The 12,563-nt window shown below is 39.6% G+C and overlaps 1 protein-coding gene across 16 annotated transcripts in view; it reads left to right on the forward strand.

The window, feature by feature from the left end:
- NTRK2 (neurotrophic receptor tyrosine kinase 2) overlaps positions 1–12,563 on the forward strand; it is a 358,533-nt gene that overhangs the window by 263,454 nt on the left and 82,516 nt on the right. For all 16 annotated transcript variants that reach the window (XM_017014751.3, XM_017014753.3, XM_047423432.1 and 13 more), the window contains one exon: positions 2,187–2,317. In XM_017014751.3, the coding sequence (XP_016870240.1) occupies positions 2,187–2,317 (131 nt within the window). The remainder of the gene's footprint in view (positions 1–2,186; positions 2,318–12,563) is intronic.

A 12,563-nucleotide genomic window follows, 5' to 3' on the forward strand; every position in this document is an offset into this window, starting at 1 on the left:
ATATTCATCAATATTGTTGCTCATAAAAAGACCTTTTGATTTTTATCACCCTGAGTTCCCAGAGGCTCACAAAAGCATTCATAGCTCTGAACCACATGAATTATCGGGGGGAAAGAAAAATCCCATTAAATCAAAATCTTAATTACCACTTGCATTTTCTATAAAGTTGTGTCCAAAAAGAAACCAAGCAGGCTGTCCATCAACATAGAATGGATAAATACATGGTGGTACAGTCCTTCCACAGAATATTATACAGTGGTATAAGGGAAATAATTCATACTACACACACAATACAGCCCAATCTCAAGGACACCGTTGAGAGAGAGATTCAAGATCTGCAAGAATTCGTACTGTATAACTCCATTTAATGTAGGTTCAGAAACAGGTGAAGCTGAACAAGCTCTGGGAGATAAGTAGGAATGTAGGTACAATCAGGAAAGAACACACTGGTGCTTCAAAGTTACTGGTGATATTCTATTTCTTAAATGGGATGGTGGGTTCATAGGTATCCATTTTATTATTATTATTTACTGCAGTTTAAATTAAACTGCAGATATATGGTTTATATTTTCGTATAATGCAGTTCACAATCAATTAAAAAAACATTTTAAAAAATGTTATCAAGTTACACCGCAGTACTAAATCTCTACTTTGAGTTGCACGAGGCATCAGGAGATATTTAGGGCTCGGTCTTAACCTTGGGAGCTTACAGATGTGATATAATTGTGGGATACATCAGAATACGAACAAGCTATGACAGAATGTGAGTTCACAGGAAGAGGTCTTTGGTGGTCAAAGTGGTCCTGGAAAGCTCTATGAGAGAGTAAGAATTTGAACGGGGCTTTGAAGGATGAACTAAGCAGAGAGGAAGCCTGGCAATTGTTTTTACTTTTTTCTCTATTTCTCTTATAAATTAAGTCTCTGCTCATGTTTAGTACAGTTTACAATTGAAAAGAGACTTTGTGAAGTAGAAGAAAACACATGAACTCTGGAATCAGACAGACTCGGGTTCAAATCCCAATTCCATTCCCAGACTGTAAATCTTGGAAATTCCTGCAGACTGTTTTCCTACTTGTAAAATGCAGAGAGGATTATGTCATGGGATTGTGAGACTGAAATGAGAGAATATAGTTGGCCACACATTCCAAGCTCTAGAGGGCATCACAATCTCTTTTTAATGCACTACCATTCAGCAACAAGGAGTTCAGAAAATAATACCAGCCAAGACCCAGCGGAACTCCCGTGCTAAGGGACTCAACATTTAACGTGCTGAGTGAGGAGGCACAGCTCACATGTACTTCTGTCCTCTGCAGGGTCTCCTTGTGGGCCTGTCCTCCATGACCTCTGTCCTTTGGTGTGCTCCCTCTCTGGTTTCCACCTTGCAGCCAATGAGCTTCTGAGGACCCTTAACTGCCTCCTGCCTTGTGCACCAAGAGGGTGTATGGATGAATGACTTGAGCCGTCGCTGCTCCAGACTGTAGGGAGGAACATTCTCTTGTCCTGGGATTCATCTGCTTTTGTCTCTTCTTGGCCTTGGAGAGCCAAGACTGAGCCATGATTTTAAAACACGGCTAAGGAAGCTAGTCCTTAATGCAGACGTCTAGATGTTTCTGATCCAAACAAAGGAAGTCAGTGAGGCCCAACCATGTTTTAGCCCACCCCACTAGAAGGCTAAAACTGAGGTGAGGCCAAAACCTTAATTAACAATGCAAAGATCTTGCATTTTCCTTTTGTATCCTCTGACTCTGTCTCCCTTAGGAATCTGAGATGGCTTAACCAATAATTCAGGATTGCTAGCTATCTCTCTGCTTTGCCCTGCTGGACACACTGCTAACAAATATATGCAAAGCATCTGGCTTATAAGAAGCCTGCCATTAATGTGAATTTCTCATTTCTCCCCTTTTTTACTCTATAAAGTTTATCAAGGATATTTTGCAGTCAGCAACTAGGTATCTACTTTAGTTTTATCAGAAACAATAACTGAGTTCTGGAGAAAAAGGTGATGAAACCTCCGCCCAGCCATTTGGGGTGGACTGTGAAGATGGACACCCAGCTTCTTCGGTTCACTGTGCACAGAGGAGAGACTCTTGGGCCTGGAAGCTCAGGTACAGGCCACCAACTCTTCACCCGCTGCCTTCACCTCCACATGCTTCAATTCCAATTTCCATTCTGTCTTTGTTTTGCAGTTGTTCAGCACATCAAGCGACATAACATTGTTCTGAAAAGGGAGCTAGGCGAAGGAGCCTTTGGAAAAGTGTTCCTAGCTGAATGCTATAACCTCTGTCCTGAGCAGGACAAGATCTTGGTGGCAGTGAAGGTAAGAGAACATTCCAGAATGTCTCATTAACCATGATCACACTTACGTGTGGAAATTTAACTCTATTTTATTATATTTTGGTGGCCAATGCAGGAGTAAATTGTTCCTGCTATGATGGATGTATTCAAATTCCTTTAAACTAAATGGACAGTGGAAAGGACATTTGGGGCACATCCAACTGTCAGAGGTTCTTCTCAGTGGCCACTGACAAGTCTGCAGGCTGTGAAGAGCTCTGAGCTACTCTTCCAAGTCCATGCTAACTGAATTTTGGATGGAAGTCAGTGGGGCCAAACAGAATTCGACCAGCTGAGTCCTTCCTGAAGACTCACATGTGTCTCCTCAAATTGTTAGGTGCTTGTTCCAAGCTCAGCTGAAGCTTGTGTCAGGTTTATGGTTCTGGAAGGAAGGATTGTGGACTTCACTTCCCCTCTCAGCCTCTGTGCCACTCAATTCTCTACCCTGACCCTCCCAGATGCGTACAAATCTCCAGGGTTTTATATAGCACAGGCATGATTTCATCCAGGGCTGGATGGCATCTCCTGTGGAATTCACCACCCAAGGAGACATAGTGGTTTTACTAAAATGAAGACTGAAAGTCCTCCATCATAGTCACGTCCTCATAAACTCAAAAAGGAGTCCTGGTCTTCAATTAGATAATCATTATGATTGAAGGGGATACAATTTCCACTGAGCTCTCTAAAACACAAGAATTAACAAAAATAGCACAAAAGGCTTCAGGTATTTTACATATATTTTTCAAAAAATTTTTAACTCACCAAAATAATGGGTAATATATATTTAAAACACTTAAAAGGGGCATATATTTATAAAATGAATTAAGCTCCAAATGAATATGGACATGGCTAATGTAATAAAATGTAAGTTCTTGACATAATATAAGATTATTGAGTTTTTTGCTGTTTTATTTCTGCCAAACAGGAAACATTTTTACAAATGGCATTTATTTACTAGTCATAACCAGGACAACTTTTCATTTTAGAAAATCAGGAGTCTATTCCATTACTGTTATACTTAACATTAAAATGTTTCAGTACATACATAATGGGCACAACTGAGAAATAAAATTATTCTTGGAGTCATCCAGCAGACTAAATGGTTTTTATTAAAGTTTATCCAAATAGAAAATCTGTACATTTGCTTTGTCACCAAAAGAAACTAACCAAGGTGGCATGATACTCCTAAACTCTCAGAGAAGACTCCTAAACTCTGCACTTTGGGGTGAATAAAGAACAGGCCTTCCTAGGAATGATAAATGTAAACATTTTTCAAATAAACATCATCTCCCCAAGATGGACAAATGGAGGGGGAGAGAGAGAGAGGAGAGAGGAGAGGAAGGAGATCCTAGAGAGATGTGAGGGTGAATGGGGTAGAAGGTGGCAAAGTGAGAATCTTGTAGTCATTATGGAGATGTTTAATTCTTGCTTTTGCTATTACTTCCTCTTTTACTTACTCAAAAAGTTTTGTTTGTCATTGTTTAGCACAAAATGTTCAGAACATTTGGCAGTGTTAAATCTGCAGTCTCTGTTTTCTTCTTACTGTATCTTTTTTTTCCCCCTTTTGGTTAAATGAGACCAAAAGGTAGCTCTATTTTTGTAAATTCATAGTTTGATCACATGTTAGAGCTGGAAGAATCTTTGGGAACATCTAATCCTAGGCTAGCCATGTATTATAGACAAGGAATCTTAAGACTCTGGATTTGTGTTCTGGGTGCATATTTTGTACTGCCACCCAGGAAGCTAAGTCAGACCTTCAGACTCTGCAGGTGTCACAAGATGGACTCTTTGAATGTAAAGAAATCCTGGGAGACTAGGGAATCCTAGATGAGAGTGTAGAAATAGCTAAGAAACCTCAGGCAGATATAGAGATAGAGCCAACAGATTTCTCAGTGGGTATGGCCTTTCATCTTAGTACCACTTCTTGCCCTGTGCCTACTTCTCTGTACTTCTTGCAATACCTTTAAGGAGAGTGTGTTGCGTAGCTGAATCCAGGGCACCCTCAGCTTATGTGTTATATTTCCTTCCAAACATATGCTCAAATAGGACTTCAGGGCTTGGACAACTAACAGTGAAGAGTCAGCTGGTGACAGTGATGTTTAGCCTAGTAGCTGGGTTGGCATTAAAAGACATCTTATGCCATTCCAGTTTCCTGCCCACGGCATGCTTCTGTTTGGGCATATGTCCCATTATCACTGTCAGTGAGGCCCCTCTCTAGTTTATATCCCAATCACATTCCTAGTTCCACCTCTGAACCAGACCTAGGGCCTAGTCTTCACATACATCCTGGCTTTGCCAAGTAAGTATTTGCAAAGTAATGACCTATGATGAGTGCTTCTTTAATCAACACTGCTTAAAAAAAAGGAAAAACAAGATTTAATTCTTTGTTAAATCCCAACTCTTCTCTTTGCTAGTTTCATTCTTGTTGAAATTCAAATGAAACTATCATCTGTCATCTCAAATAAGGAGGACAAAGTGCCTGCAGACTAAAAATTCATTCTAACTTCATGGTCACAAACTTAAGAAGTCTCATGTCAGTGACCTTACATGTGAATTTTTTTTTTTTAAATGAGAGGTTTTGCTTATGTTTGCTAGAGTAATTTCAAGCTTCAGAGAGGATGTTTATTTCAACTCTCTGGGATTCAGAGGCTGCAGCCACGTAAGGGACTAGCTGGACCTTCCACAGGCTCCAGGCTGAATTGGATCAGAATAACCCATGGACCTTTCACAGAGCTGTCACTCGCCAGCCTGACCTGCTCATTTTTAGGGCTTTAGGCCTATTGAAAGTGTATTCAAAGACTATCCAAAGGAGCCTGGGAAGAAAATGTCTATAGTTCAGCCCTGACCACAATGAAGGGATTTTTTAAAGGAATGAAACCAACTGAATGCAGCTGCCAGGGATTGCACAGCTTCTCACCTCTATGGAGTGACTGCCGGGCTTGCTCCTCTTCCATTGGAGACACCCAGGGATGTTTGACAGCCTTTCTGCTGTTGCTTAGCAACCCCTGCTGCATTGATTATGCATGCTAAGAAATAGCAGCTATTGTCCTTTTTCCTTCTCTAGAAGGAGCTGACTCTGGTGTGAAATCTAAGGCTTTACGTTCAGATTGACAGATGTCAGATTCCTGTAAATTCTGGTGTTGATGATTTAAGAGCTTGAGGGATCCATAGGAAGAGATTTAGGGTGGAAGTGATCCTAAGGCATGTGCACAACACTTGAGGGCACACAGAGCTGAGCATGCCTCTCCCATCAGAGTATTTGCTTGTTTGGATCCAACCAGATTGTCCCTTTCCTGATATCTTTGGATGACCTTTGTTTTTTTAGTGAAATTGATCTATCAACCATTTTTTTTTCCCTTTGCACTGAGTTATAATCAAAGAACCCATAGAGAGGAGGAGAAGCAGAGAAACCAGTCTTTGATCAAACTGAGTTACTTTACCTTTAAGTAAGTCAATTGCCAAGGAAACGCTTCATCGCAGTTTCCCTGCATTAACTGTGGATGCATTAGCTATTTTTGGCTCCATCCAACCTGTATTTCCAAAGCTGCAATTCCTATAACATTTCCTTGTACTATGAATCCACATTGATTTTTGCTTTTTAAATATATCCACAAGTGTGCATCGTGGGATTCATGGTCTCTCCTCCCCTCCCCACTAACTCAGGTGTATTTCTAGAAACATAAAATGCTGAATAGGAGAGAGACCTTAGAAATCATATATATAACCCAAGCCTCATGTTTTATGGATGAGAAAACTGAGACTCAAGGAAGTTGAGTGACTTCCCCAAGGTGTAAGTTAAAGTGAATCAGAGGTGTTGTACAGGAAGAAGACTTGGCAAGATAAAAAATGGTAAAATTTGACTTCAGCAAGCACTTTCGTTGGAATCTGACTTAGGATTTTTGCTTTTCATGTTTCCAAATTCTTTCTTGTCAACAGAGAAAATGATGATGTTTTTCTCCACCAAGAGTTTGGAAAAGTTTTCTGATAAACCCTCTAGCACATAATGAGGCAGGCCCCAAGTGGCATCCAACATGTTTCTTCCATTTCCATGTCGGGATGGCCCCTACCCAGCCTCTTGGCCCAGGTAACTCCCATCCACGCATCAGCTCTCAGTTCAAGTTGTCCCTCTTGGGAAGGATGTGCCTTGTTTGCTCCTCCATCTAGGTCACATCTCCATGACATATGCTATTAAAACATCTGTACTTGTCCTTTATAGCATTTGTCAATATTTTAAAATTATATATATATATTTCTGGGCTTATTTAATGAATGGCATTGAATGTCTGTCTCCTCTAGTAGAGTGGCATATTCCCCAGGATGGCAATAGTGCCTTTTAGCACACTGCCTCATATGTAGTAGTATGCAGTAAATGCTTGTTGAATGAATGAAGGGATGGATGGGTGGGTGCATGGAAGAACAAAAAGATCATGAAAATAATAGCCTTTTGATAAATAGAGAGTTGCACCAGGTGTGGTGGCTCATGCCTGTAATCCCTGCATTTTGGGAGGCCAAGGCAGATGAATTGCTTGAGCTCAGGAGTTCAAGACCAGCCTGGGCAACATGATGAAACCCCATGTCTACAAAAAATACAAAAAGTTAGCTGAGTGTGGTGGCATGCACCTGTGGTCCCAGCTACTTGGTAGGCTGAAGTGGAAGGATTGCTTGAGCCTGGGAGGCAGAGGTTGTAGTGAGCCGAGATTGCACCACTGCACTCCACTCTGGGTGACAGAGTGAGACCCCAACTCAAAAAAAAAAAAAAAAAAAAGAAAAGAAAAGAAAAAAAAAGAGTTGACAGTTGGCATTTCTAGGTAGGGAAATAATTTGATGATCTATTGATAGTCATAGACTTTTATAGCTGAAAGAAACTGTAAAGATGATATATATATAGAATAACGTAATCTAACAAGAAATTATTTTAGAAATGATTGAATCACTATATAGATATATAGAGCTAATATTGATATTCTTTAGCTTAACTCCACCATTTTGCCAATGAAGAAACAGGAATCCAAAGAAGACAAATGACCTATCTAAGGTCACCTAGCCTAAAAGAGATCATTTAATGTCAATGTCAGACCTAGGACTTAAACACAGTCCAGTGCTCATTGGGTACCATATTTTCATTTATTGAATTTTACATGTGCCCTGGTGAACCAGATTGAGGAAATCCAACACAATGACACTTATCAAATAATATAAAGGAGTGTGTTAGTTATGTCGTTTATATGGAAGGATGGGAGACATGTTCATATTTTCCCAAGTAGAAATTTAATTCAAGGGAATAAGTGGAAATAAGATATACTGGATTCCTGAGGGAGTGTTTAGGCCTCAGGGGAATACAAGCAAAATATTATAATCAGCTTTTATAAAAAGAACAATATCATGTTCACTGGAAACCCAACTCAAGCTGGCTTAAGCAGAAAAAAAGAATTTATTGGCTTCTAGAAATCCATGCTACTAGAAAACCTACCTATGGGTATCCCAGCTTTCAGGCACCACTAGATCCAGGGAATGAACGATTCTCTTTCTCGTCTTCTCCATCCCTTGGCTCTGCTTCCCTCTGTATTGGCTTAATTCTCAGGCAGGTTATTTCCACATTTTGCTAAAGACTTGACAGCAATGACTCAGGGCTTAGATCTTGCCCTCCCAGCAACTCAAAAGAAAGAGAGCTCCTCCTTCCAAACAGCTATGCAAAAATCCAAGGGATGACTCCTATTGGCTTATCTTGGGCTGTGTCACCAGACCCTCTGGCCAGAGGAATGGAATATTCTGATTATCCAGGCCTGGGTCACATACTGACCCTTGGAAATGAAAGTTGGGGTCCACTCTACCCAACCCAAATGGACTGAACGTGGGGAAGTATTGTTTCCCTGGAAGAATATTAGAGATGCTATAACTAAAAGAAGGGAGAAAGAAATCTGACAGAAGAAAGTGAAAGATGACCAACTCAAATAGGAATTGCAGGAGAGCTTGGCCTCCCTGTGATGAGAAGAGCTGGTATCTGAAAGCTCACTCAAGATCTGAGGCAGCCCTGGTGACTGTCCCTTCTTTATCATCTCGGCAGGAGACATCAGGGAATCTCCTTGGGACTCCCCTGCTTAGTGCAGCTGTCTCTTGCCTCTGCTACTCCCTAATATTTGCCTGCAGCTTTCATACCAGCTACTGCCCACACTGCCTCCATGACTCACTTGCTGATTCCCCAAGAGGGAAAATACTATGGTCCAGTTCTTCCAATTAGTCATCTGCAATGCCATTTAGTCTTCATGCCAGGACACCTACCTTCCATCCAGTCATCTGAGGTGGTCACGTGGTACAGAAGAGGCCACCTCTGGGAACAGAAGCAACCAGAGCCACTTGTCTCAGAATCTATACAAGAGCAGTATAAGGGCTCACAAGAAAAGCACATTCTCTCCAATTCTGGAACAGTTTAAAAAAAAAAAACATAGATGAGAAAAAGCATCAAGAGTTAGTTGACTCAAGTGCTCTACCCAGGTAAGGTTATTTCTAAGACAGATGGCTCTTTTCATTATTTCTTTTTATTTTTTATGACAGTCATCATATCACTTTTCACGTCTTCATTAATTGTGAAGTCCTTCTCCCATTCCTCCCTCTTCCGGTGCCTCCTTCCCATGTTTCCACTTACATTGGCATGTGAAATACTTGTTCCCAAAAAATGGAAATTGATGATGAAAAGATTAGTTACTTAAGAAGACAATTGTTAGTGTTACTCTAAAAAAATAGTTTGTGTCAACATGACGTAATGTTGCACAAAGCACTGCAACATTATAAGGATCTAGGAACAGAAACTGTAAAACTTTTAATAGTGTCTGTGATTGTCTTTATTATCCAGATGTTGCTTAATAGACTAGATTTCTATTGTTCTTTGGGTATGTACATTCTTTCCTGGTGTGCACACTCAAGAGTGTGTGTGTGTATGCATGCATGCATGCAGGAGTGCACTGTAAGATAGAGAGTTAGGCATTTGAATTAGATAGGCCCCAATTATTAAGTTCCTATATCAATATACCTTTCCCAGTAATTTCAACTTTAGACCTTGGGTCAGGGATCTGTTTTTTGAATTGTTAATCACTTTGGTGACCCTCATTTCTGGCTTATCTTCTATTTATCCACATATTTTCAGAAAAGCTAAAACAAAACAGTGCATTTCACTCTAATGAGGACTCATCTGGCATCAAACATAGCTGGAGGATTCATTTCACACTTTTGTATCTCTGGAATGTATGCATTGAAATAGTTGTGCTGCTTTTTAATTTACTTTAACATGATGAACGAATTCCCAGTCAAACAATGGTCTACCATGATCCACCAGCTCCTTTATGTCTAGCAAAATTTTATTGGAAAATTTTATGCTGGTGTATTTAAAGCCTGTAAATATATTGCAGTTGTCCACATTGGAGGTCAACTTCTGATTCACTCTCTTTTGATTCAATATTTCTCTAATTGACAGTTGCTACGAATTAGTTTCCTGTACAAAGACATAACATTTCTAATATGCAACTTGATATCATATGCAAGTATAAACCATCTATTTTATCCACCATATTATTGCAAATAGTTTAAAGTATGTGAATCAGAACTTAACCTCCTGTTTCCCTTTGGATAGTTGCCTTGTTAGATCTGAGCTGGAAGAGCCAGTATGGCTGAGAAAATAGAGATAGCAGTGAACACCCTGGCTATAAATCTTGTATATGAGGTTGTCACTTGGTACATAATTAAAGTCCTGTCAAAGGAGTTATATACAACTAACTGAGTTGATATACATAGAGTATTGTTTTCTAGCACATAGCAAGCACAATCTGAGTGTTTGTGATCATTATCCTCTTCATACAATCATTTAATGAGTTTTTACATTTGTAGGGATGTTGGGAAGCTACCTATTGCACTCTCTCTAGTTTCTAAGATTTTATTTCTCCCAAGTTCTTTCTATCCACGAATTCATTAAAATACACTCCTCCAAAGCTGAATTTTGTAAGAATTTGATAGACACTTCCTCTACCTATTTTTAGAAAAGATTCTGTCGTTAGAAGTTCATGCAGCATGCAGCATTATGATCAAGGCTTGTTCTAAATGCGTGGTTAATCATTGCCTGTAACAAACTTATAAGTGTGTCTACCTTAATTCTATCTCAATTTTATAGTTTAGAAATGTTTTCCAACATTCCCAAGAAAGAGGTTGGCTCACTAATAGCCTATGGAGGTGGCTTTTATAGAACAATGAAGTCCAACAGAAGCATAATGTGAGCCACTATTGAGAGTCACATTTGTAATTTTGAACTTCTTAGTATGCATATTTAAAATGTAAAAAGAAACATATGAAACTTATTTTATCGATATAGTTTATTTAACTCAACATATCTATATTATCATTTCAATGTATTATTAATATAAAATATTAATGAGAGAGTTTATATTATTTTATTTATAGCAAGGTCTCAAAATCTGTTAGGTTTTTTTTTTACCTAAAATACATCTCAATTTGGACTTGCCAAATTTCAAATCATCACTAGCCACCTGTGACTGTTGGCTACCATATTGGACAGTGCACATCCAGAAGCCATCAGGAGACTAAAGATTCTCCATTTGCAACAGATCTTGCCACAGTGATCCTAACCCAGAGGAACTCAGGCATATTAACCAAACATTCTCATGCATCTTGGTTGACTGGTTTGGGAGTTTTTAAATTTCCCTCTGTGTTTTAAACACTATGGTGGGAATTGGGCATAGTGAGGTCTTACCATAATAATCTCTTCTATATTTTGTCTTTCACCTTAACAAAGACACTGTTTCTATGATCTCTAAAATATATGAGAAGAAGAATATAAGATCAGTACTTTTAAAAAGAACACAACCTCTATTTTACCTCATCTCTCCTAAACCACCTACACTTTGAAATGGATGATCATTTGTCACATCCTACAATATTCTATCACACCAATGATTTCAAATAAGCCCTCTTGCCTCTCTTACTAGCTTTCCATTAACCTTAACATTTTGCTGAAGCATTTCATATGAATTTTGATTTTTCTTTTGTTTTTGCTCTTCTATTTCACCAGCACTAGTTTCTCAGTTCTGTGCTAAAATTTGTTTCATGCTAGTGCATTATTTCCAATTCTGAATCAATATGTACTCCAGGCAGTATCTCGCTACAGTTCTGGAGGAGCCCTCTCCCTTAAGAGTATCTTCAGAAAAGATGGCAGCTTTGGGGTGTCAGGAAATTCACCAGGAATAAGAAGAAATGAAACTACAAAGCAGACAGTAGGAGTAAGAAAATAGCAATGCTCAGTGATCGGGCAAATATGCTTGTCAAAATGAACCTGAAGAAGAGGGATTGTCAGTGAGGGAAGCTGCCACCCGATATTCATGGCCTCAGTGCATTGCCAAGGGACTCAGGGAACCAGCCAAGCCTTGCATAATTGAGTAAAATGACAATCAGCCATGGTACTAAAACAGAGATGATTTTTATAAATAGGGTTGATAGCAGGATTTTCCAGCTTCTGATTGCTATCTGGCTATGGTTCCACCCTTAGAAAAATTCTGCCCTTACAGTGCCAAATTCAGAAGATGATTTTGCCCAAGTTGTTACCACCATATTTTCTGAATCTCTTAAAATAGAATTGAATCATAATTTAGAAAAAAAGACCCAACATGCAAAAATGGATGGGCATGTTGGATGAGGCCAGGTTTGTGAGATGCATTTGCCCCATGAATAGTGGAATCTCTTCTCTCAATTTCAAAAATGTTACTGAAGCACAGTTTTTGACATTGCACTGAGAATGGGCTCTTTTCCATATTTTGCTTTGGGGACATGGAAATGTTAGATGCTTCTTAACTCTTTCAGGTTGGCGTTTCAAAAAAGAAAAGCTTGTTCTCTCTCTCTCTCTCTCTCTCTCACACACACACACACACACACACACACACACACACACAGTCTAGCATTCTTTTTTTTTTTTTTTTGAGACGGAGTCTCGCTCTGTTGCCCAGGCTGGAGTGCAGTGGCGTGCTGTCTGCTCACTGCAGGCTCTGCCTCCTGGGTTCACGCCATTCTCCTGCCTCAGCCTCCCGAGTAGCTGGGATTACAGGTGTGAGCCACCATGCCTGGCCCAATCTAGCATTCTTGAATCAATACTACATAGCTAAAATTTGAGCAGAAAGATTATACACAGAATTTGTTCATGCCTTGTGATAATGACCTTCAAGGGCCAGTACCTTTTC

Source organism: Homo sapiens, chromosome 9 (genome assembly GCF_000001405.40).
Source record: "Homo sapiens chromosome 9, GRCh38.p14 Primary Assembly".
In the NCBI taxonomy this organism is placed as follows: domain Eukaryota; kingdom Metazoa; phylum Chordata; class Mammalia; order Primates; family Hominidae; genus Homo; species Homo sapiens.